Source organism: Homo sapiens, chromosome 8, assembly GCF_000001405.40.
Source record: "Homo sapiens chromosome 8, GRCh38.p14 Primary Assembly".
Lineage (NCBI taxonomy): Eukaryota > Metazoa > Chordata > Mammalia > Primates > Hominidae > Homo > Homo sapiens.
In genome coordinates this window covers 12088381-12115522 of record NC_000008.11, presented here as the reverse complement: position 1 = coordinate 12115522, position 27142 = coordinate 12088381, and the positions used below count along the sequence as shown (strand labels likewise).

Here is a 27142-nt window from a genome sequence, read left to right as displayed (position 1 = left end):
ACGAGCTTGAATAAGAGAAGCATTCTGTGTTACGCTTTAATAATCGCTGGAGATCTGCCACCATGCATTTGTCAAATCCCATAGAATTTCACAGCACAAATAGTACATCTTAATGTGGCTCAGGAGTACATATAATGTCAGCCACAGTTTGTGGGTAAATTACATATTTAATTAAATAGATTAAACAATAAATAATGATATGAGCTCTGCCTGGACACAGTCCTTGCCTCTCCAACCAGTTTGCCAAGGGCTTGAATTTCTTGCTCATTATCCTCACACTTGACATAAACCCTGGCTGCAGAGTAAAATCAATCACTCGTGGAGATTTTTTAATATGATGATGTGTCAATTTCAACCATGGATAAGGCCATTTAGCCTTAGTAAGGCCGATCGTATTAAGATTCTGCCTGTTTGACAAAATTTCAAGTCATCCCACTTGATATTCAGGAAACATTTTCTCTTGAGTTTTAGGTTCAGTGGTGAGGCTCCTTCACGGACAATACATTTTCCAATTCTGAGGACAAGGCAGAGGAGGGCCCCTCTGTGAGAACTTTCATTTTGCTTCGGGAAAAGTACATTGAATCAAATATAGAAAAGGCTTGCAAGGTGGCTGACAGGTTCGGCTGTTTTATCATGCTGGTGTTTTATCTTCTGGACTGCAGTAAAAGGAGCACAGCTGTGTCTGTCTCTGTGTAATAACTCAGGACTCACCTGAATAAAATGTGGGGTGTCATGAGATGAACTGCTACTTCCAGTTAGAGAGGCTCCAGGGACAAAATTTCAAGAGCCTTCTGAGGGATAGAAGAGAAGAGCTGCCTTATTCTCTGATCCCAGGTAACTGCTCAGAGACAGAGGCAAGAGCTGGGGACACCCAAATGCATATACTAGGGGTCTTTGATACAGCCTCCATTTCCCTGCTAAATCTATGCAATGACAAACTGAGAAATCTAGCAAGTGGGGCTGAAGATCCCTGGTGTGTCAACTCGAGGGTTGGATGGAAACAAGTGGTTTTGGTGGACGTTGAAGTAAAGGGAGGTGAGCTGTGAGGAAAGAGCTGTTGAAGACTGGGGAGACTCAGAAGTTGGGGTAGAATCTCCACCAAGAATCTCACCCAAGGAGTTCAGATGCAAATCAGTTTGTTAGGGCTGCATAAATGAAACAAGGGCTTCACCAACATACTAAGTTTTTTCAACAACAGATTGTATTCTTTCAATATTTGTAAGTATTGGTCTTTTGGAAAAGTTTAATGAGATTTCTTATATAATTCTGCATTCAATTTATTCCTTGGTCACTTTGCTATTATGCATTTACATGCCACATTTTTATGAATAGATATTTTCTCAAATTTCTGAATTATTTTGCTAAAGTATGTGTTAAGAGTTTTTTCTAGAGGTCCACCTTCTTGACTCACTTTTCTGATGAGAAATCTATCAGGTTTCTCCACAGTGATTTTCAAGTTTGATAGCTCCTCAACGTGAGAAACTTAATGTCAACTAAGAAATGAATTACCACTAAAGAATTTTCTTCTTTCAAGATGCTAACCCTGTTTTGTCCAGTGTGAAATCTCACATGTGCCACATGTGTTGCTCTATGAAGAAAGGATTTCTCATGATTTTTCATTGCATAACTTCTCCAGTAAGAAGTATTTGGTATTCCAAGAGAATTCATTGCCCTTGGAAAGACTTTCCCTTGTTATTTAGCTTATGAAGGCTTTCCTCTCTTATTTTCCATTTTAGCAGCATTTTGTCACTCTTCTCTTGTGAACATCAAGCCTGGTGCTTGGCTGAATGTTCATTCACAGAAAAATACAAATAAAGGGTTCATCCAAGTAAAGTTTTCTCATGTTATTTGACAATAAATTGCAAATAAAAACATTTTCACACTGAATGCAGAGTTAGAGATTCTCTACCTGAAAGTCCCACATGTTTTAAGTTAAAGCTGTTGCTGAAGACTTTTAGTTGATTATGCTGACAGTTTCAGCTCTCTCATGTCATTTATGCTCAGATCACTAACAAGTCTTTGGTACATACATGTCATACAATTTCTCTTCCATATGAATTTATTGATGTGGGCTGAAGAATAAAGGCAACTGAAGTATCTTCCATGTTGATTACAGTATTTCTTCAAAATGTGAGTCCTTTGGCATGTTTAGATGCTACAACTACAGCTGAAGTCTCTTCCACATTCCTTACCTTCGTCATTCCTAACACTGTGTCATCTAAAGTCAGAATATGTTCTGAAGAAGTTTATAATTTTCTCTCCAGGGTGAATTTTCTGATGCTTTTTAAGATTAGTACATTGACTGAAGGCTTTCCCACATAAATGGCATTCATATGGCTTTTCTCCAGTGCGTGTTCTCTCATGTCATCTAAGGTCGGAGGACAGACTGAAGGCCTTCCCACATAGAAGACAAGCATGTGGTTTCTCTCCAATGTGAATTATTTTGTTTCCTCTAAAGCCAGAGCTTTGACTAAAGGCTTTCCCACTTTTATCACATTCATAACACTTTTGTCCAAGGTGAGTTCTCTCATGTCTTCGAAGGTTAAAGGATTGAATAAAGGCTTTCCCACATTGATGACACTTATATGGTCTCTCTCCCGTGTGAGTTTTCTCATGTCTTCTAAGGTGAGAACACTGAGTGAAGGCTTTTCCACATAGATGACATGCATATGGCCTCTCTCCAGTGTGAGTCATCTTGTGCCGTCTAAGGTAAAAGCAATTAGTATAGGCCTTTTCACATAGATTACATTGATATGATTTACCTTTAGTATGAATTTGTTTACGTGGTTTAGGGGACAAAAGATTACGAAGGGATTTTCCACACTGTTTGCTGACACAGGGTTTCTTTCCACTGTGAGTTAACAAACACTGAGTTATTGTGGAACTGTGAGTGCAATCTTCTCCCGAATCATTATATTCAAAAGGATCCTCCAGAATGAGAGAGTTCTCCTTTGGGACAAAGATTAAAAGCTCTTAATGGTTTACCCACATATATCTATACATTCATTTCACTACCTTTGAATCCTAGACCAACCATTCAGTGGTAGACCCCAGTTGAAATCTTTCCAATGTTTCTTGTGTGAAAGGAAATTAAATTTGGGGACCCCAAACTCATTTAACCAAAGGGAAAAATCAAGCTGGGAACTGGGTCACACAAACCTGCCTCCCCCTTCTGGTTCCTAAATAATATGACTACAAGATGAAAAGCTACATGCCTCCCCCATATTTTGCCCACAAGGAAATTCCTCATGAGCTGTTAAAATTACACCATGGCAATGCAAACTGATAACTTGTCTTTACAGGTGCAGTCATCCCAAGTTCACCAGACACAAATGCATATCTGATTGTTTCCCTGTCCCCATTTTGCCTATGTTGTCTTATGTAAAATGCAGCTTTCCTGCATTATTCCTCTGCCTCATTTGTTTATGTCATGTTATGTAAAAAAATCCAGATTCACTGAGCCAGAAAAATGCATGAATGACTATTTTTTCTACCCACCTTTTACATGAAAATTGTGTACTTCTCAATATCCCAGCCTTTCCCCTTTGAATTTGGAGCCTTCAAAATCATCTTTGGAGAAAGGCATACACCTGTCCCCTGGGTGCATGTCCTTAACTTTGGCAAATAAATCTCCTAAAATGATTGAGACTTGTCTTGTCATTTTTCTCGATTGACATTTGCATACACATTATCTCCTGCAGACACAGGTATGTTCTCTTCTGTAAGATCTCAACTGCAGAGTTATTGCATAATTGTGATGATATCAATATCTTTCAATGTCTGGGCATGAGCAATGTATATGCACTTGCTCTATTTTAGAGATCTCATGTTATGATTTAGAACAGAGGTCAATGTATTCACTAAATTCAAAGTCTCCAGTTTTTTTCTTTGCTTAGAAAGCACTTAATGCCAGCCTAATTACACTCAGGTGATTGTGCTTCATTATTAACTTAACCCATTACCATATCTTTAACTTAGATGACTGGTGTACACAGCTATAAAACTTACCATTGTCATACTGGTGGATGCGTCTTTTCTGATGATAGGATGCATGGATATCATGTGTTTTTTCTTAAGGGCACTTTCCCTGTCTGAAATAATTGAAAAATAAATTGTTACATTGGTATTATGGTAATAAAATTGTTTGAAAAGCCCCAAGGCCCATTTACTTTTTTTCAAAAATTGACACTTAGATGTGGCAAGTGTGTCAAATGAAGAAACTACTTGAATAGAAGAAATAGATTGTACAGTGTCAGCAATTAGAAAAGATTTTTAAAATTAAAATGTGAAAAGAGTTAAAATGGAGATGAGATATCAGGCAAGTAAATAGAGGGATAGTCTTCACAGGGGTATCAGGGAAAGGGTCAGCATATGAAAGTTTAACCCCAGCCAAGTACATGAATTGTCTTTTTCCCAAAAGTAAAAGAAAAGAAAAAAAAGAGGACACAAGAGTAACATCTGACACATGAACAAAATGATAATAACATCTAAGGAATTCTGCTCCAGTAGCCTAACCTACATTTTAGAAATTATCACTCATTTAATAAAACCACTAATTAATATTCAACTGATATTATTCATTGAGAAAGCACCTCCTCCTATTAGGACACAGGACCCTGTTGCTTACCTGGATTCTGGTCTTGAAGAAATACTCTTCCTTCCCGCCACAGCTCTTTTCCTTGCTCCAGCTGCAAAATTATATAGGATTTGCTTATCTGGTACCCTGTTAGTGGAAAGAATACATGTGTTTTGAGTTCACTGTCAATAAATGTGCATTATCACCAAGTGTAAGGCAGGCTATCAAGGAAGAATAAAAACAGTGAAGGTCAGCTCAGGCCACAAGACCTAGAACACAGAAAACTCCCCAGGATTTTTCTGACCCAACTTGAGACTAGAAAATAAATCCAAACCAAAGGGCCATCAGGAAAAGGAAATTCAAAACAGTCAGGACCTATGAATGCTGAGTCCATGCCTAAGTTCCAAGACACAATGCATAATACACAATCTTTTCAGAAAGAGAGTAATTAAATCTCTGCACATTGTGTTTATTATTATTCTCACGCAGAACAAAAAAAAACATTCGATTTACAAAAATAATTGGTGTTCTATATGGAAAAGATATTGCTATTGTTTTCACTAATTGGTCTCAGCCTAAGCATAGACTAAAGCAGAAGAGTTATTTAGAGAGTAATTTAATACATTGAAAATATTCATTATGTTCCCAGGTCTGTTATGAGTATTAGAGACTGAGTACCAAAGACACCATGAAATACTTGTCAAGATTACATTCTAATTGAGTGACAAACTAAATAAAATAAAATAAAAAGAAAGATATTTATTTAAGATAGATTTAGAGAGTTCAAACTTTTTTCAGATGAGATCTGTGAGAGAATCAGAGAAGAGATTAGAGTGAGATATGGGGAAGCTGTTCTAACACTTATTGAATGAATGAGCGAATGTGTGTCTACATATGTACGTGAATGTTGAGGGACTCACCGAGGGACACCAGGTGACTGATATTTTCCAGCATCACATCTCTGTACAGCTTTCTCTTGGATGTGTCCATCATGTCCCACTCTTCCTGGGTGAAGTCAATAGCTACATCTTCAAAAGTCACTTTCTCCTAAAACATCACAGACATTTTAGTTTAGACAGAGAAATCCCTTTCAATGTCCGGAAGAGGAAGGCTGAGATGATATAGCTAGGAGCTGGGTATGCAGAATACTCAGTGTTTTTGGTTCCAGCCAGTTCATTCTCAGTACTAAGCTGGTATCTGCCTTTCAGATTCACTCACAGAGATATACCCACTCTGAATCCATTAAACTTTACTATAAAGAAATATTGCATGAGGTGTGGCATAATATAACCCAGATATTTTTCAGTAATGTCTTAATCACCTCTACATAACTGCTTATAAAATTTTCACTTGAACATTCATAAATAAAATGAAATTTACCATGAATTTCAAGTAAATTACAGATTTGTCACAAGGCAAATAACCATGATTTACTACTTTTTAAACATGACTGCGATGAAATAAATTATTTCTCTAGATGAACGACAGGTTTCTCCCCAATCAAATGGTTAAAAGACCAATGATGTGTTTTGAATAATCTAATGAACTAATAGAAAATGTGTTTCCTACCTAGCAAATATTTATTAAATATAAGTCATTGGTCCCTTATTCATTCAAAAGTTAGAAAGTAATGAACCAGACTCCAGCATTCTTCAGAACTGAACGCTTTATGCAGAATATAGGATTCAATTCATACATATAGTCTCTCTAATGTTATATAATTCAGGTGTTCATGAAAAGGCTTGAAGACAGTCTAGCAGCACAAGACAAGACTGCTGAGGCTGCTATACTGAGGAAATCTTAGTCCGATGATTCCTGTGATATGAAGCCTCCTGTTCTCAACTTTCTCTCGGCAGTCCAAACATCAGTTATCATTGTTTCTCTTTTAAATTGACCTTCTCACTTCACTTGTTCAAAGATTAAGAAAGCCTCTTCATTGTTTTTTTTTTGTAACCAGCCCTTATAAAGCATTTCCACAGAACCCTAAATTGTACTCTATCTACTATATTCCTTCTTCTGAGTGTGCAACCATAATTAAATAATTATATTTCCTATATGTTACTTTCACTTACCAGAAGGCAAAAAAGTTAATTACCAAAAGGTAAAATGAATGGGGATAAGAATAGTAATGACTTCTTTAGTTGTGCTTTCACAAAGTTTTTAAAAGCTCAAATATATTTTATAAAACTCTTCTTTTCCCTCAACACTGCACAGCTCTTGCCCAAGTCCTATCACACTGGATTTATTGAACTCAGCTGCTAGAACATCAGACTCATTGTTGGGCTGTGATGTTCTGCTCTTCACTCATCTCTGTCGTCTGCATTCATCACAATCCTAAGTCTATTTCAGCCAACAGTACAGTTAATGGGTCAATTATTTCCCTATGAGATTATAGGATGGATAGAAGAAAAAGAAATATATAAATGAAACCTCTCATATCTTTTTTTGTAAATAGTCTTAATAAGGGCTGGAATAAAGTAGTGTAATATTAGAAATTATATTGATAATTTAGGAGTCTTTGACACACGATACCCAACCTAGAGTCCTGAGAAAACTTAATTGGAGGCCAGATACCTGAAAGCCTCCTGACTGCATTTGGAACACCCAGGCTGGGTGGATTTTACATCATAAAAACAAACAAAAAAAGAATAAAAATGAAACACCCATGCAAATTGGAGAAAACTGCCCATTTGCCAGCAATATGGGTATAATTTCAGTAGAAAGAGGCATCCCCTACTCACTAGTGAATGCATTGTCAGGAACTCAGTTTCTCTCTGTCTTCCTCTGGATTTCCACTTGCAGACACTTTAGGCACTAAGAAAAGCTGAGGTTGGAGAAAGAACATGTGAGACACCAGTCTTGTGCACAATTTTCAGATCAACCTGTGATGAAAAGCCAGACTTTCACTGAAGTGTGACACCAGCTGCACCACAGCCTAACCAACAGACACAAACACGCAGAGGCCTCTCCTCTTTTCCCGTGGTCAAAATTAGGAAGCCTATGACTATGGTTGCTAATAAACAAGGAACACAGATATCTTGTGAATGAGAACATCAAAAGCACGGAGTTTTGTATGTTAATTGGCACAAGTCCAGATATTCAATTCCCTCACTGATTTTAAAACACAGGGATCCCTGACTCCATCCACATGTGGAATATGATTTCCACCTATAGATAAACACTGGGATTTCTCAGATTTTATTATCCTAGCTTTATGCCCTAGCAACGTTTCTCCAACACCCACCACAGCCTTCTGAAGCTTTACTCCACTTTTATTTTCACTCAACTCTGACTTTTGTATTTCCCCTTGGAACGTGGAAATAATCAAGTAAGAATCTGTTTTAGGGTCGAGTGCAGTGGCTCACGCCTGTAATCCCAGCACTTTGGGAGGCCAAGGCAGGTGGATCACCTGAGGTCAAGGGTTCGAGACTAGCCTGGCCAACATGGTGAAACCCCATCTTTACTAAAAATACAAAAATTAACTGGGTATGGTGGTGCTTGCCTGTAATCCCAGCTACTCAGGAAGCTGAAGCAGGAGAATCTCTTGAACCCAGGAGGCAGAGATTACAGTGAGCTGAGATCCCACCACTGCACTCCAGCGATGGCGACAGAGTGAGACTCTGTCTCAAAAAAAAAAAAAAATCTGTTTTAGGATGGGGATAATGAATTGAGGGATTTATTTCACTTAGAGGGTCAACACTCCCATCCTGCTAATCTAGCCCTTAAAATCTCCTGCATCGGAAATTAGCAGGAGTACCCTGAGTCATGGTGTTTCTGTCCTGTGTATACAGTCACAATCGTCTAGGATGCTCAGAAAATACAAAATGACATAGGGGTGGGAGAAATTTAGCAGCTCAATCTGATGTTTCACTAACGTGGTATCTAAAATTCTTGCAATCATGGTTTATATTAGTCTTTGTTAGCTGCAATATCTGTGATTATCATGATACATATTTGCTGAGAAATACCCATGTCCATGTATATATTCGTACATAGATATGTAGGTATATAGGTGCATATGTTTATATGAGTGTATGTGTTTGAGACAGGGGGAAACATGCATGTATTATTTCCTTGCTAAAAATATAAAAATAATTAAATATATTTTATGTGCAAGTGATAATTATGTGTCATAAACAAAAAATTTACTGACCCATTTGTACATGAAGTCCAGGAAAAATAAAAAGGGTAACTTTGTATTAATTGTGACATTGTGCTTACAGATGTACATATATTTCCTTATTTAACCCTCATAATAATCCTGCTGATTATAATTTATTTACCAATTTAATAAATGATCAACAGGGTTTGAATAATATGACAAAATTACAAAATTAGAAAATGGCCCAGCAATACTTTTAATTATATTCTGCCTGTCACTGCCTCTTCTTGCTTTTTGACAAAATTACTCCCCTAACCAAGGTTCTCTATGATTCTGGGGACTCCAGCATTTAGACCCCAGTTCCCAAACATCATTGTGTCTATTTTTACTGCCACATTTAATGCACATTTACAGACTTCAACAAGCACTTTTCAATATCAACTTTTTTCTTATTCCTTGAACTATTTTCTACATCTGTTCATCAAGACTCCAGTAACATATGACTCCATCTGCCTGTCCCTTCCATGAATGTACCTGACAGTACATGTATTATGTAGCCTACAATTCAAGCAGAACAGATATTCCTTCAAAAAAAATAAGATATTAGAGAATGCCGACAAAGCTTCAGTGTAACCAGCTGTAACCCTTAATATTATTACCATGTAAACTCTTCCTCGAATATCAAAATAAGATTTGGGCTTTAGAGAATATTTGTGTGTAATTATAACCCAAACATGAACTAAAAGTAATTTAACTGGTCATATACAGACCGTGCCAGGGACAAAAAAGGACAAATATTATAAGAAAGTTAAAGCATACTTATTTCATAAAGGACTCTTGTGTGGAATCTATCAAAACGATTTCAAGATGTAGAGATTAAATATATTTTAAACCACATACATACACAAGCAATCTTTAGGAGAAACTTTTAAAAACTTATGTTATAGGTCTAAAATTTTCATTAATTCATGGAAAAAAAATGTATTGACAAACTTTTCACCAGAGCAGAAATAACAACTTATGTATTTGGTGACTTCAAGATGAGAGCCTGCACAGCTTAGTATCTCCCTCCAGTTGTCTCTCTCTCTCTCTTTTTTTTTTTTTTTTTTGGTAGAGTTTCACTCCTGTTGCCCAGGCTGGAGTGCAGTGGCGCGATCTCGGCTCACCGCAACCTCCACCTCCTGGGTTCAAGCAATTCTCCAGCCTCAGCCTCCTGAGTAGCTAGGATGACAAGCATGCGCCATCGTGCTCGGCTAATTTTGTATTTTTAGTCGAGACAGGGTTTCTCCATTTTGGTAGGGCTGGTCTAGAACTCCTGACCTCAGGTGATCCGCCAGCCTCCGCCTCTCAAAGTGTTGGGATTACAGGCGTAAGCCACCGTGCCCGGCCCAGATCTCTTAAAAAGTCATGAGGAATGAGCCATTCTGCATCCTCAATATTACCTTAATATTTTAAGGGCACCCGTAAAAATTAAGAGGCCAACTTGTGACTTCTTAGCCCTTTCACGGCTATTTAGACACACGTTAGTGAAGTATTAGGAATGCAGTATTAGGTCTCAAGTTCCTGGACAACAAAACCATGTTCTCCAACAGATCTTCAGTAAAAATAGCTGATGTCTATATTGTTTTGCCTGTCCTTTCCCTTCCTTTTAATTCAGAACTGCAGTCTCGAAAAGTGCTATTATTTAGTAGATTCTCTCAATTCTCAACACCAGTGCTATACAATGTTGAATGACATCTGAGGTGCTAGGGAAACAGCAGCTCACATTCTAGCAATGAAAAAATAGAAAAGCAAAGATCACCACAGAGTAAAAGAGAATAGATTTTTTTAAAGTATGAAACCAGAACGAATATATATCAGATTACACTATAATTGGAAAATCCTATTATCTTGACGGGATTGCAAGTCAGATTACACTATAAATGGAAAATCCTATTATCTTGACAGGATTGCAAGCCTCTCATGGCTTCCAACCTCCAATATATTCAAAGCAGTTCAGGAATGGTGAAAGTGGAATGGAATTTAAAATTATTCTAAGGTTTTATGTGTGAAAGCATCATGCCCTGAAACAAAATATTTATTTTTAAAGTGCATAATGAACACTGCATACAAAGTTTATGTAACAGGAGAGAGGAAATATCTCACATTTTAAAAAAAGGAATATGCAACATATTTACATACAATAAAATTAAATTAAATTAAAATACAGCAATGGAAGACAGAATCTAACATCTGAAAATCAAGGGAGAAATCTATTTTAAATAAACTTGTCACAATTTTAAAAGTAAGTTATGAAAAATAATAATACCTGAATATAGTACATAAAAGTACCAATACAATAAAGCTAAAACAATATCGATGGAAAAATTATTTGCTGTGCATTATTTTAAAAAAATAATCTAAGTACTTACCTCAATAGGGTAAAAGAATGAAATTTAAAAATTGCTTGAGAAAATCTGTGAAAGGAAATGAATATAGAGAAGCAGAATATAATTTAACTATAAACCACACAAATAGAATTTAAAAATAAGTGGTAGCCAACATGCCCAACACGATTTTCTGTGATGAAAGAAATTCTCTATATCTGCATTGTCCAATGCAGTAACTACCACACATATGTAGTTACAGAATTTCTAGTTTGGCCAAGACTTTGGCTATTACTACTAAGGATATGTCATTTAGTTATTTAATTATAATTAATTTACAGTTTATAGTCACATGTGACTAGTAGTTACTATATTGGCCAATGCAGATCTAGAATCTTGGAGGAGGCAGTTCAAATAATGAGATATGGTCAAAACAAAAGTGGAAAAGGCACACAAATAGTGAACACAGATTATGAGAATGTGAAGTAACAATTCACACAATAAAATGTAATAATGAGATGCTGCCTTGATGGGACAAATGTCTAATGATATACAAGGCTTGTCTTGTTACAGGTAGAAGAGCATGAGCAGGGCAGGAGAGGGCTCTTCCCCTACCCACTAGAAATGTCAGGTGATGGCCTGTCAATTATCACATTGCCTCTCTAAAAATGATAATTAGGCAGCACCAAAGAGAGGCCATTTCCTGATGGTCTACACCTGTTAACATCAAAAATGTTAGTTAAATGCAGACCTCAGGAAGAAGCAACTTCTTGGGCATGCATGTTAAGAGACAAAAATGGCAAAGCATAATCTTCCGGGGGCACACTCCACCGGAAAAGGAAAGAAAGCTTCAGATGGACATGCATATAACTCCCTAAACACACCGTGCATGCTCAATTTCAAAGGGTAAGGAAAGCACTGTGCAAGCCGGAAACGCTCCCTAAAGTTAGAATCATGGGAAAGAGGAAAACCCATGGCAGGATCAAGGTTAAAGGCTCTTCTCTTTTCTTTCTTGGACATTCAGGCATCTGTTCGGGTCTCTTCCAAGAGAATTTTCCTCTCCTTCCTGTTCTAAAGCCTTTTTAAATAAACTTCCACTCCTGCTCTGAAACTTACCGCTCAGTCTCTTTTTCTGCTGTATGCCCTTCAGTCAAATTATTTCTTCTGAGGAGGCAAGGACTGAAGTTGCTTATGGACCCATGCAGATACGCTGCCAGAAACTGGAATCTCTTCTACTGGTAACAGTATCATTGTAAGGGAATGAGGCCAGTTCACATCTCAGTGCTTGGAGAACTCACCAGAAATAAAAAGTTGGAGGATGCAGTGAACTTATCTACCTTCCAAGGCAAGTCCCACAAGCAAGCAGCAAGACTCTCTTTCCCCAAGGTCGTATAGCAAAGACATGGAATCAACCTAGATGCCCATCAATGTTAGAGTGGATAGAGAAAATACAGTATATGTACACCATGGAATACTACACAACCATAAAAAAATTATGTCCTTTGCACCAACATGGATGCAGCTGGAGGCCATTATTCTAACATAATGCAGGAAGAGAAAACCAAATACCATATGTTCTTAGTTATAAGTGAGAACAAAGCGTTGGTTACACACGGATGTAAAGATCGGAACAACAGATACTGGGGACTACTAGAGGGGGAAGGGAAGGTGGGGACAAAGGCCTTAAAAACTGTCTATTGGGTATTATGTTTTCTATCTGGGTTACAAGATCATCCATACTCCAAGCCTCAGCATCACACAATGTGCCAATGTAAAAACCTGCACATGCATCTCCTGAATCTAAAATAAAAGTTGAATTCTTTTTTTAAATGCTCAAAGATCTGGCTAACACGGTGAAACTCTGTCTCCACTAAAAAAAGAAAAAAAAAATTACAAAAAATTAGCTGGGCATGGTGGTGGGTGCCTGTAGTCCCAGCTACTTGGGAGGCTGAGGCACGAGAATGGTGTGAATCTGGGAGGCGGAGCTTGCAGTGAGCCGAGATCACGCCACTGCACTCCAGCCTGGGTGACAGAGCGAGACTCCATCTCAAAAAAATAATAATAATAATAAAAATGAGCAAAGATCTGAGTAGACATTTCCCAGAAGAACAGATACAAATGGCCAACAAATATGTGAAAATATTCTTACCATCTCTAATCATCAGGGGGATGCAGATAAAAACCACCATGAAATATCACCTGATACCTCTTAGAATAGCTATTATCAAAAAGATGTATAACAAGTATTAGCGAGGATGTGGAGAAAAGATAACCCTTGTATACTTGCGGTGGAAATACAAATTACTATGTCCATTTCAGATAACAGTATGAAGGTTTCTCAAAAATTTTTTAAATAAAACTACCTGCTGATGAGGCTGTTGAGATATAAGAACACTTTTACACTGTTGGTGGGAATGCAATTTAGTTCAACTATTGTGGAAGACAGTATGGTGATTCCTCAAAGACCTACAACCAGAAATACCACTTGACCCAGCAATCCCATTACTGGGTATATACCCAAAGGAATATAAATCATTCTATTATAAAGATACATGCACACATATGTTCATTGCAGCACTATTCACAATACCAAAGACATGGAATCAACCCGAATGTCCATCAGTGACAGACTGGATAAAGAAAATGTGGTACGTATACACCATGGAATACTATGCAGCCATAAAAAGGAATGAGATCATGTTCTTTGCAGGATCATGAATGGAGATGGAAGCCATTATCCTCAGCAAACTAACCCACGAACAGAAAACCAAACACTTCGCTTCTAACTTACAAGTGGGAGCAGAACGGTGAGAACACATGGATATTAGGAGGGGAACAACACACACTGGGGCCTGTTGGGAGGCAGGTGGAGGGAGAGTATCAGGATAAATGGCTAATACATATATGCAATGGAATATTATTCAGTGTTACATAATAATGAAATGCTGTCATTTGTGACAACATGGATGGACTTGGAGGGCATTACGTTATATGAAATAGGCCAACCACAGAATGACAATTACTATATGATTTCACTTGTATTTGAAATCTAAAATCGACAAACTCACAAAAGCAGAGAGTAGAATGGTGGTTGCCAGGTGCCGTGGTGCTGGGGAAATGGGTAGATGTGGTTAGAGCACAAAGTTTCAGATATACCACGTAAGTAAGTTCTGGAGGTCTCGTTTACAGCATAGTGCTTACAGCTAAGAATACTGTATTGCATACTTAAAATTTGCTAAAAGGGTAGATTTTGTATTCTTACCAATATTTCTTACCAAAAAAAATAATAATAAAGGGGGGGGGACTTAGGGAGGTGAAGGATATGGTTATAATCTTGATGGTAGTGATGTGTTCATGGTGTATACTTATCCCCAAGCTCACTGAGATGTACACCTTAAATATGTACAGCTTTTTAAATGTCATCATAGCTCAACAAAGTCGGTGAAAAAAAAACAAGAGGGGTTGGTTAAAAACCTTAAAAGGAGGGGTAGATGTTCCCTTGTTTTTCTCTCTTGGCTTTTTTCCTTCCTGCTGCCTGGAATTCAGAAATGGTAAGTGGGAATTTAGCAGCCAAACTAGAGCCTCTTCTAAAGTATAGCAGAACAGAGAGCTGGAAGGGGCCTGCATCCCTAATGAATTTGGCAAGTATCTGTACTAGCCATGGTAGGTAGAACTATAGATTTAAGTGAGGGAGAAACAAACTTCTGCCTTGTTTAAGCCACTTTGTTCAGACATTAATTTTATATACATATAGAGAACATATGCTCCTTTATGCGTAGGAAAAGTGTTTATGCCATATGGTCCATGATGGGTGTTCAACAATGTAGGATGAGGCTGATTATGATGACAATGGTGACAAATAGCATGAAATAATAAGCAATGAAAAAAAGGTGGCCTCATAGTTGTGTATGGTTACTTTATTTAAAGATTCTGCTGCTAATATCATTCAATGTATTTGTATGCTGGTGGGAGTTTTATTAGATGTAGACTAAGAAAGTTTACATTACTTAATGAAAAATACTTGACCAATTTTTTTTAAAAAAATAAAAATATCGTGAGATGGAACTAAGCATCTGTATTGCAAAGTAACTCTCCCAGTTGATTTTCTGCATAGTAATGATTGAGAATCCCCTGATCTAGATCCAACAGATCTCGACCTTTATAGGTGCTATCAAGGAAGCACCTAAGGAAGACAATTTTCCTGACTATATCCATACCTCCAGTTAGTAATAGATCTAGAGATCTAGAACCCAAATCCAGACCTCCTGCCTCCATGTGCGGTGGTCTTTCCCTGTTGTTTTGTTCCACTTGGTGAAGAGGATTTGAGAATAAATAGCCACATGATTCAACTCCCTCCTCAGTTCTGAGGAATATAGCCTTGTCCTAGCAAGCAAGAAGTTCATACAGCAGTGGATGAGACAAATATACATTCACTAATCTAACACACAAGGCAGTAAGTACTGTAACATAAACAAAGCACTTTGGAGTTTCAGACCAGGAGCAAGTGGGGTGATTAATTCTTAGCAGGGCTAGTAAAGTCTGGGAAGTGTTCACTAAAAAAATGTCTGGTCATTAATGAAACCAACTGATTTCGCAACACAGTCTAATTTATTGTAACAATATAAATGGTTGTTTGTTCATAAACTTTCATCTTTTGCCAAAATGTTTGTAGCTTATGTCCCCATTTAACAAGGTTTTCTGGCCAAAACTGTGCACCCACATCATTCTAATGAACTGGCTGTCCAATAAAAAAAAGGACTCTCAGTCTTCCCATAAAAGCAATTTTGCGTGCATAGAACACCTCTATCTGTGACTATCCCTAATGAGGTACAGAAAGACCCTTCTTATCCAAACAGAGACATTCCACTGGTGCTAGACAGCCACAGAAGGAAGTTTTCTCTGCCTCCTGGAAATGAAGCCCAACTTTCTTCTTTCTTCAGCCGTGAGGATTGCTGTCCTCCTCTTCACCATTTTCTTCTTTATGAGCCAAGTTCTACCAGGTAACAAAATAAACTTGGTAAGAGTAGAGTGCCTAACACCTTACAGGGATTCAATACTCAAAGAGAAATCACCATCACCTGTGACCAGAAAAGGGGGTCTCATAGGAAATCTGGAAGACACATTGGCTGAGAGGCCTGCAGCCATCTAATTCGTTAATTCTCCATAGCAACTCAGTTAAATGAAGTCAATGGTGTTTCAAGTCTTTGAAACCCTCTTATTCCATCTCCATATTAGGCAAGTTTACTAGCAGTTACTAGACCTCAAAAATTAAAAATCAGGCATTATTCTACTAAATTTTTGTCTCCAAAGCTCCTCTAGTTTCTTTCGGCAAAAGTTAGTTATCCTAAGAACTGGCATAAGAGCTATGCCAAAGGTGTGGTAGGCTCAGAAAGAAGGGATTGGTGGAAGAAGTCTCTTTGAAAATATTATTATAATCTAAGAAATCTTTAACCTATTGCTCCCCAATACTGTTGGTCCCTGGGGCTTGACTTTTCCCCTTAAGGCTCCATCTCCATCCCTGGCTTTCCCTCTTCCTTCTCAGCATCTAGTCTTGTAGAATTTAAACACAGGAACCAGGGATGACCCCACACCAGAGCATAGCCTACTGCATTCAGCATGCGAACATTAATCACAGGTATAAGGCCCCTTGCACAGACATGCTTTGGAGAAGTGTGTATAGGACTTCTTGGATTTGCCCAAGGTGGTTACCAGACACCCAAAGTAGATTCGAAAATTTTCTGGAACTCCTGAACATGTGTATTCAAGGATGAATAAGCAACTTATTGCCTCTATTTTTGCTGTTTTATAGAGAAAAAAAATAAGGCCCTGGAAACTGAAGTGCTTTTCCCAACAGTGGGGTAAATGTCAGAGTCAACAATTTGTTTTAATATCCTGGCTTTCCCTATACATCCCACCCTAGAGTTCTGTTGTGCTGTTCCTTTGTTTGACTTTCTAAAGCCTGAAAAAAGGTGATACCATATCCAATCATATTAACTCGGTAGCACACAACATCCGGGACTGACATAAGATTATTATCCCTGTGGCATTACTGAATTCCTGTCTCACTAGTACTTGTTAAATAGTCACCCTGGCTAAATACATGGGTTTGATTTTTTTTTAATTAGTTAAAAATATTTTAAAATATGTGTCTTACATATATAACCCCAGAAAATCAATTCGTTTAATCAAGGTTTAAAAATTCCAAATTTGGATAAACAAATTTTTTTGTTTGTTTGTTTTCACTGTCACTCAATAAAAATAGAAGCAACTAATTGGATAGACCAGCACAGGCGGAAGCACGACTCACAGTCAAAAATGGGATGCAACAAGACTGGAGAAGAAAACACAGGATGGTGCTAAAGAATGCAGCCTAATGAAAGGTGGCATCTCCTCTGGATGTCCTTAGGTAGACATTGAAGCAGAACTGCCAACTTTTTGTAGAAGGCTAGAGAGGAGAGGAGGACACAGAGAGAGGGCAAGAGTGGAAAACAGAATGAGGCTCAGAATACCAAGCCTTAGTGCTCTCCCTATCATCTGCCTCACTCGATCACTGGGTAATCTTGGGCAAGTTTCTTCCTTTCCATCAGCTTATTTCCTCATCTTTAAGGTAAGTGACTAGACAAGACATCCTATGTTCATTGTAACTCTATCTTTTGTTCCTGAAGCAAATGGCTGGAAAAGACATAGTGTCCACAATATGCAATACACAAGGTTCACAAGCAAAGAACAAATGAAAACGAAAGATTTTTAAAATCCCTAATGTTATTTGAATTCTTGCAGATGAACTATGGTACATAATAATTTTAAAAAGCCTTTTGTAATTTCAATTTTTAAAAATAATTTCAACCTTTATTTTAGATTCAGGGAGTGCATGTGTGATTTGTTACATGGGTATATTGTGTGATATTGAGGTTTGGGGTATGAATAACTCTGTCACGCAGGTAGGGTGTACCCAAAGGGTACCTTTTCAGACTTTACTCCCTCTCCCTCCCCTCCTGGTAAGACCCAATCTCTCTTGTTCCCATTTTTATGTCCATGTGCACTCATTGCTCGGCTCCCACTTATAACTGAGAATATGTGGCATTTGGCTTCCTGTTCCTGAGCTAATTTGCTTAGAATAAAGTCCTCCAGCTGCATCCATGTTGCTGAAAAGGACACAATTTGGTCCTTTTTATGGATGCATAGTATTCCGTGACATATATGTACTACATTTTCTTTATTCAATCCACTGTTGATGAACACCTAGTTTGATTCCATACCTTCACTACTGTGAATACCACTGTGATGAACATACAAATTTAGGTCTTTTTACAAGACTGATTTACTTTCCTTTGGATATACACCCAGTAGTGAGATTAGTGGGTCAAATGGTAGTTCTGTATTAAGTTTCTTGAAAAGTGGTTTGAAAATATAATGCTCAATAGAATCAGGTATAGTAAAATAGTACACATGATTCAAAGACCTGTGAACCGAGAGTAACAACAAATTTCCACACAAACATATTGCAAGTTAGAAAATAGCTGTATTTTAATCAATTATTCCACAATCATTTACTGAATAGCTATTATAAGACAAGACTTTAATCAGATTCTGGAATATACATACAGAGGAGAATAAGATATGATTCCTGCCCTCAAGAAATTCATTATCAAGAATTGAGGTCAGATGGGAAAACGCCACCCATAGTAGAATGCAAGAAGTACTACCACAGAGGGATGTCCAAGAGTGATTTATCACATATCACAAGACAGGTCAGTGGTTCATCCTCTACACTATACTAATCTCTTATGACTCTTCCAGCTGCAAAGGGCCAATTTTAGCACAAGGCCAGTGGGCTTGGGTACTACTATACTTAGTAGCTGACTACTTACAGATAAAAGGAAGAGATGGAAAGCTCAGGGATCAAAAAACTCAGATTTCAGCTTGTTTCTACCAAGTGGTCAACATTTAGAATTACCATTGTCTTCAGAAAGGCATGACCTTTATTTCCCAATTTGCCTTATAGATATAAATATGATGTTGCATATATTTGGTCTTCACATCAATCCACTAACTGCTTTGTGACCATTGAAAAGTTAAATGGAATCTAATACATTTGGATTTCAGTTCAATTAAATAGGCATTTATTGAATGTTTATTAAAATTGCTGTACTGATTGAAAGCTATTCTAGAATTGGCTTTTGTGTTCCAGAATAGAAAAAAAAAAAAGGTGCTGGTTTTTATACTTCTCTTATTGCCAAGAAGTTGTCATGGAAAAGGTGCTCTGTGTTACATACAAAGACTGCTCAGAATTAAAACACTTTTCAATCTAAATACCTCAGTGTGTGTGGCCTATCCCCAGAGCAGTGATATTTTCGGACATAAATGAAATACTATTCAATGTTTTCAACAAGTATAGTTTTTAAGCCTTTAAGAAGACCTTGAATGTTTCACTCTTAATATATGCAATGGTTTCTAAAGAAAAATTGCAACCTCAAAGACCAGTGCCAGAGATATAAGTAGTGTGTGAAGTCTCAGGGGGTAACAAGTACTGGCACAGATATATTTGTGTATTAAACACATAGGAATATTGTTCCCTTCAACAGGAAAAGTATCCTCTCTAACAATTAAAGTATATTATCTTTTAGGTCTAAATTTCAGTTCTACTTTTGAAAGATACATCTGTTATAATCTATCATATAGAGTGTGTGTGTGTGTGTGTGTGTGTGTGTGTGTGTGTGTGTGTAGGAGTAAAAAGAGATGAGCCAAAAGAGATTTTCTTCTCTTTCACTCCAGGAAAATCCATAGTACAAGACATTATATTTTTTTGAAAGGCTGAAATCTCCCATCAGTGTTGGAAGATAATAAGGAAGAAATAAACTGAAACTTGCATGCTCTAGAACTTGTAAAGGGGAGCGGGCTACTCACCTCCAGCCTTTTGTCATGTAGGTGCACCCAACATTCTCAGATTTTTCAAGAACACCAAAAAATCCAAATTTTTGTGTGACAGCAGATTTTTAAGTGTTTAAGAAATCAAATAACACACACACACACACACAAATCCACACAAGATTATTTTCAGGCACTGCCCCCTACGTCCATGTAATTCAATACAAAGTAAAGACTGATGAATGCTTACAATAACCCTCTTCTGCTGTAGCCAGGGGCAAATTCAAGGAGATCTGTGAACGTCCAAATGGCTCCTGTCAGGACTTTTGCCTCGAAACAGAAATCCATGTAGGGAGATGTTTAAATAGCCGACCCTGCTGCCTGCCTCTGGGGCATCAACCAAGAATTGAGAGCACTACACACAAAAAGGACTGAAGCCTGTTGTTTTCTGGTGGTTTTAGGTTCTCTTTTTTCTCTCTCCCTCTCCCTATCTCCCTGTCTCCCGTTCCCTCTCTCCATTTTTCTCACAGGGATTTTCATTGAATCCTCAAAAAAGAATAAACCAAAACCAACCAGCACAAAACCTCTTTTAAAAGTTTATATTACTGGCTGGGTGCGGTGACTCATGCCTGTAATCCTAGCACTTTGGGAGGCCAAGCTGGGTGGATCGTGAGGTCAGGAGATCAAGACCATTCTGGCCAACATGGTGAAACCCTGTCTCTTTTAAAAATACAAAAATTTAGCCAGGCATGGTGGCGGGCACCTGTAATCCCAGCTACGCAGGAGGCTGAAGCAGGAGAATCGTTTGAACCCATGAGGTGGAGGCTGCAGTGAGCCGAGATCCCGACACTGCACTCCAGCCTGGGTGACAGAGCAAGACACTGTCTCAAAAAAAAAATAAAGAAAGAAAGAAAGAAAGAAATAAGTTTATATGCCATGTTATGACTTGATTACTGTTTGGTTTCCAGTATCCTTCTATCCCATCTAGATGAGCTCTTAGTTGAAAATGACTTACAGGAGGGTGGGGGAACTTTCAACCATACCTATTGATTTGTCTAGCACTGTAACCCTTCACCCTGCATGTGGGAAGACCACTCCCATTTTTTACAGGGAAAATGCGCCATCCTATTCCATGCAGCCTTGCAGGGGTCTGTCTCTCCCTGATAAAGGTGCACCACATATGAAAATTGCACAATCACGTCAACCAGACTTCACCAGAAATCTAAATTATAAAAAGAGTTGCACTCAGAATAAAGGCAATTTCTTCAGCACCCTTTTCGGAGGCAAATCCCTGGGTCTGTACATGTATGCCTGGCCAAGATTCAGGGAATTCCTTCAGTTCCCAGCTTTCACTGGGCATAATCATTCAGCATTTTCTGCCATCTTTTAAAACACTGTATTGGCTTCCTATGGCTGCTATCACAAATTACAACAAACTTAGTGACTTAAAGCAACACAAATGCATTATCTGACAGTTCTATAGGCTGCAGGTTTCAGATGGATCTCTGTGGGCCAACATCAAGGTGTCAGCAGGGCTGAGCTTTCTTCTGGAAGCTCTGCAGTTTTCTTCCTGCACCTTTATCCCAGCAATGACAGGCTACTCCTGGGAACCATAGCTTCCTTCATCCATTTTCAAAGCCAGCAATGGAGCATTGAGTCCTCACATTCCATCATTCTGAATTCATCTTCTCCCCACTCTTCCATTTTTTAGGACTCATGATTACGTTGGGCCCACCTGGATAATCTAAGATAATCTCCCTATTTTAAGGTCAGCTGATTAACAGCCTTAATTTCACATGAAACCTCAATTCCCCTTTGCCTTACAAGGTGGCACATTCACAGGACCCAGGAGTTAGGATGTGGATAGCTTTGGCAGGAGACAGAGGGGACATTATTCTGCCTACAACAGCCACTGAGTGCTTTTACCACCTGTCACAATTTTGCTCCATTTAGACACAATTTTAGTGGCTTTGTGTGAAGAGATTCTCATTCATAGAGTTTTCTTTTTTGTGTAAAGTAGTGAGGGGCCTCCCCTTGGTCATTGAAAGAGTATAGAATCAAGATATTTAAAAGTATATTAGCTGGATTTTATTTTTCACTATGACTGATTTGGCCAAGAAACAATGTTAAGTTATGTCACATGGACTACTCGAAATCTCAAAAAGTTCAAAACATTGGGTTCAAAATCTCAGAGATTGAGATATATTCCAACCAACTCAACCCTGTGGAAGTGCCAAGTTTTCCTCAGTGCCACTCTTGAAACCGCATCACCAACTGACCCTTTAATATATTTTTGCACTATATAACATTTATTTCTTAGAGTAAGTGCTTCCCTAGAAAAGAAGCAGTTTGGACACGTATATTAAAGCCGTCACCTAGAATATTATCTTCTCATTGCTAGGAGGTGGCCTTCAAGATGGCTGACTAGAGGTACCAGGCACTGTGTCCTCCCAAAGAAAGACCAAAACAGCAAGTAGATAATCATACCTTGAAGAGGGCATGAAAGAGGGCACTAGAATTCAGCAGCAAAGTGACGAGGAATCTCTGAGGCATGGAAGGAAAGGAAAATGAAGCAGCAGCCCAGCCAGAATCAGCTTAAAGCCAGGACAGGCTCTGCAGTGTGGTGAAAAGGTAAAAAAGAGAGCCCCAGTGGTCCATATTCCCACTGTGGACACTGCAATCCTAGCCAAGGGACGGTCTCTCAGCCCTCGCAGGCCCTGAGACTACTATAGGGAGCTGCCTGGAGTGTATGTGATGGTCATTGTCCCAGAGAAGGAGTTGGCACTGGATCATCTGCACCTGCCCCCAGACACAGGCAGCTGTGGCACAATGCCAATTTGAGAGCCCAGCCCCCAAAAGACTACATCCTGCCCTGGGGCCCAACAGCCCCTGCATCTCCACATCTCTGGACCCTCAGTGACATTCCCTCATGTCCATCCAGAGGCCTGCAGAGTCACAATACCAGCTGAACTCACCAGTGTAGCTTGGTCCCCATCACTCTAGCCTACACAGTGTCCTACACTCCAGGGAACTGGCAGTGCCATTCACTAGAGAGGCTGCCCCCAGAACAAAGGGAGCTGAAGCAGGCACTCTTCACAAGTGGAGAGTCACCTTCCCAGGACCACTGACACTGACAGCAATCCTGACCCCCAGGAGCAGGGCCACTGCACACCTGCAGGCATCCTCAGGGGACCTGGGGACTCACCTGCCTGAGCACTATTCCAGGGCCAGAGCACAGGCCCATCCCACCCATTGCTGTCACTACCACTACCCAAGGTCGTTGTCCAGGACGCTGGGGATCAACCCACACTGCTGTCTGTCATTGGCACCTGTGCATGCCTTCTTGTGACCTAAGTATGAGCCCACCCAGCCTGGTGGTGCCTGTGCACATTGTCTGGGAGCCTGGGGATTAATCCACCATGCCTATCACCATCAAGTACCTGTGTGTCTCCTGAGAGCCTAAGGATAGGACTTCCCAGCCTGCCATCACGGCTGCCACCAATGCCCACATATTTGCACCAGGTGAAAGCCTGAGGACTACTCTGTCCATCATGTTGCCACGACTGTTGGTGTCTGCACATGCCATCTGGGGTCACAAGAGTTGACCTGCTATGACTACAGCACAGGGTCTTGAGGGCATGCCTATCTCCCTAGCTCACCACTGTCACTGCTGGCACTTGAGAAAGCCACCTGACTCACGCCTGTAATCCCAGCACTTTGGAAGGCTGAAGGGGGCAGATCACCTGAGGTCGGGAGTTCAAGACCAGCCTGACCAACATGGAGAAACTCCATCTCTACTAAAAAAAAAAAACAAAAAAAAAAAAATACAAAATTAGCCGGGCATGGAGGTGCATGCCTGTAATCCCAGCTACTCGGGAGGCTGAGGCAGGAGAATTGCTTGAACCTGGGAGGCGGAGGTTGCAGTGAGCTGAGAACACACCATTGCACACCAGCCTGGGCAACAGAGCAAAACTTCATCTCAAAAAAAAAAAAAAAAGCCACCTGAAGGCCCAAGGATGGCCTGCCTGAAACTTCAACCACTGGTGCCCACGTTCATCACCCACAAGTTCAAAGACCAATGCAACTGGTGCCCAAGGACCAAACTGCCTGGCCTGTCTTTCCCCAGCAAAATCTCACCACAGCCTCCATTAACAATGAAGGCTAAGACACTGAGGAGCTCACAGACATCAGTGATGCTGATTATAGCTGAAGAAATCATAGAAGTATAAACTACTGAACCAACTCAGAACTAAAGGCAAAGTGTCTTACTGATTCAACAGTATAGATACAGCTACAGAAGTCAGTCTTTTACTACCAAAGCCAATCTATAAAATTAGAAGAAGCAACTGTTTTACCAGATATTCAAATATCAATGTAAGGACATAAGAAACATTAAAGAGCAAGGAAACATAGCATCCCTGAAGGAAAACCAATAATTCTCCAGCAACAGATTTCAATCAAACAAATCCATAAAATGAGTGAAAAGGAATTTAACAGCTGAAATTGAATAATTCAATAAATAAAATAAATAATACAATTTGAGAACCTCAACAATAGACTAGATTAAGAAGATGAAAGAATTTCTAAACATAAAGATCGGTCTTCATATGCAGGATTAAATGGATTAAAGACTTAAGTGTGAAACACAAAACTATAAAAACCCTGGAAGACAACCTAGGCAATACCATTCAGGACATAGGCACGGGCGAAAATTTTATAACAATGACACCAAAAGCAATTGTGACAAAAGCAAAAATTGACGAATGGGATGTAATTAAACTAAGGAGCTTCTGGGCAGCAAAAGAAACTATTAACAGAGCAAAAAGACAACCTGCAGAATGGGAGAAAACTTTTGCAAGCTATGCATTCGACAAAGATCCAATATACAGCATCTACAAGGAACTTAAAGAAATTTACAAAAAAAAAAAACCTTTAAAAATAGGCAAAAACATGATCAGACGCTTCTCAAAAGAAGACATACATGCTGCCAACAATCATATGAAAAAAAAAGCTCAAGGGTCATGAGGGATTATGACAGACAGGAGGCAGAACTAGATGGCAGCTCTGGACAGAGCAGCATGCGGAGGCTTGCGTTGTGAATTTTAGCTCCAGATGGACTGCAAGAGCAGACCAGCAATCCTGACAGGACCCACAGACCCTCCGAAGGAAGCAGACTGCTCTTGCAGGACCTGGGAGACACCCCAAATACTTTAAGTCCCCTAACCACGGAAATGGGAAAGGGAGACCCTCGTCTCATGAACACACACCCCCACTGGAGAAGCTGAAAGTCTGTTTGTGGGAGAAGTTCGTGACTTTACCTGGAGCTGAGTCAAGTTAGAGAGCCGAGCTGAGCAACATACAGGAGTAGAGGAAGTAGCACAAAGGCACTGGAAGGCCGCTGGATCCCCAAGTAGCCCATTCCTGCCTGGCACGGCAGACATCCATCGGGGGGGTGGCCAGAGGAGCAGGGGGTAAAACTTCACAGGGAGAAGAACCTCTCTAGCTGAACTTTGTAAAAAATTGAATGGGGCTGGAAGCCTCCTGGCCAGAACTCGGGGGAGGGCGTGAATCAGGCTTGCAGACTTCACAGGCGGGGTAAGAACTGAAGCCCATTTCTTTGTCAGTCGGGAGGCAGAAAGCCTCAGGTAAGTTTTCAAGCCAGATTCGCCTTCGGCCTGGAAACAGACTCCGGGCTATCACAAGGGGCATTGTGGGAGTGAGACCCGCCTTTCAGCGTGCCTGGAAGCTAGCTTTCCCCAACTTCCCTGACAACCTGCATGACTCAGCAGAGGCAGCCATAATCCTTCTAGGTACACAACTCCACTGACCTGGGAATCTCACCTCCATCCCCCACAGCAGCCAAAGCAAGACCCACCCAAGGAGAGTCTGAGCTCAGGCACGCCTAGCCCCACCCCCACCTGATGGTCCTTCCATATCCACCCTGGTAGCAGAAGACAAAGAACATACGATCTTTGGAGTTCTGGAGCCCTGCCCACCACTGGTCCCTCTCCACAGTGTCCGGAATTGGTGGGTTCTTGGTCTCGCTGAGTTTAAGAATGAAGCCGCAGACCCTCCTGGTGAGTGTTAACAATTCTTAAAGATGGTGTGTCCAGAGTTGCTTATTCCTCCCAGTGGGTTCATGGTCTGGCTGGCCTCAGAAGTGAAGTTGCAGACCTTCGCAGTGAGTGTTACAGCGCTTAAAGGCGGCACGAAACCAAAGAGTGAGCAGCAGCAAGCTATGTTGCAAAAAGCGAAAGAACAAACTTCCCACAGAATGGAAGGGGACCCAAGCCTGTTGAGCTGTGGGCTCCGGTGGCCTGCTTTTATTCCCTTGTCTGGCCCCCATCCATATCCTGCTGATTGGTCCATTTTACAGAGAGCTGATTGGTCCGTTTTGACAGAGTGCTGACTGGTGTATTTACAAACCTTTAGCTAGACAGAGTGCTGATTGGTGCATTTAAAATCCTTTAGCTGGACACAAAAGTTCTTCAAGTCCCCCACCAGATTAGCTAGACCCAGAGCGCTGATTGGTGCATTTACAAAGTTTTAGCTAGACACAGAGTGCTGATTGGTGCTTTTACAATCATTTAGCTAGACAGAAAAGTTCTCCAAGTCCCCAGCGGGCCCAGAAGCCCAGCCGGCTTCACCTCTTGATGGCACTCGCCAGACAGGACTTTGCAGCACCCAGCCCTGGCACTCCAGCAGCCTAGAGAGAGCTCATCCCCCGGTCAAGCCCAGCAGGCACCGGCCAGCCGCCTCAAGTGTGGGGCCCACCGAGCCCGCGCCCACGCAGAACCCGCGCCAGCCCACAAGGGCCACACGCAGCCCCGGCTCCCACCACGGCCTCTCCCTCCACACCCTGCGAGCAGAGGGAGCCGGCTCCGGCCTTGACCAGCCCCAGAGAGGGACCCCCACAGTGCAGTGGCGGGCTGAAGGGCTCCTCGAGTGCAACCAGAGTGGACGCCGAGGCCAAGGAGGCACTGAGAGCAAGCGAGGGTTGCTAGCATGTTGTCATCTCTCAACACTACTACAGCGGATGCTTTCTGGAAAGCGCCATCTCCCAGCAGGAGGCCCATCAGCACAAAAAATAGAGCCTTAAACCACCAAAATGGTGGAAGCAGTTTGAAAAACAGGTTGGCAGTTTTCAAAGAATTAAAAATAGAGTTAGCATATAACCCAGCAATTCCACTCTTAGGTATATACTTAAGAAAAAAGTTTGTACGTAAGAGT

The 27142-nt window shown here is 40.2% G+C and overlaps 1 protein-coding gene and 1 pseudogene across 1 annotated transcript, besides 1 other annotated feature; one reads left to right on the top strand and one right to left on the bottom strand.

The window, feature by feature from the left end:
- Positions 1-6: 6 nt before the first annotated feature.
- On the bottom strand, positions 7-26185 carry ZNF705D (zinc finger protein 705D). Its single transcript, NM_001039615.3, has 7 exons — positions 25880-26185; positions 11090-11134; positions 7318-7400; positions 5497-5623; positions 4628-4723; positions 4009-4091; positions 7-2949 (listed from the first exon to the last, which is right to left on the bottom strand). Exons 3-7 carry the CDS (start codon positions 7327-7329, stop codon positions 2365-2367), a joined length of 903 nt encoding a protein of 300 aa, NP_001034704.2. The 5' UTR covers positions 7330-7400; positions 11090-11134; positions 25880-26185; the 3' UTR covers positions 7-2364.
- Positions 15988-20495, top strand: DEFB108D (defensin beta 108D (pseudogene); annotated as a pseudogene).
- Positions 26276-26775: an enhancer, noted in NCBI's record as "H3K4me1 hESC enhancer chr8:11946257-11946756 (GRCh37/hg19 assembly coordinates)". NCBI's record gives its function as "activates a minimal SCP1, AML or CMV promoter by ChIP-STARR-seq in primed H9 embryonic stem cells {active_cell/tissue: H9 hESC(primed)}" and the evidence as "EXISTENCE:reporter gene assay evidence [ECO:0000049][PMID:30033119]".

Coding starts and splice junctions, on each gene's coding strand:
- ZNF705D (NM_001039615.3), bottom strand. Junction 4,724..5,496: donor CAGTCACCTGGTGTCCCTCG/GTGAGTCCCTCA, acceptor TTCCACTAACAG/GGTACCAGATAAGCAAATCC. Junction 2,950..4,008: donor CATCCACCAGTATGACAATG/GTAAGTTTTATA, acceptor TTTGTCCCAAAG/GAGAACTCTCTCATTCTGGA.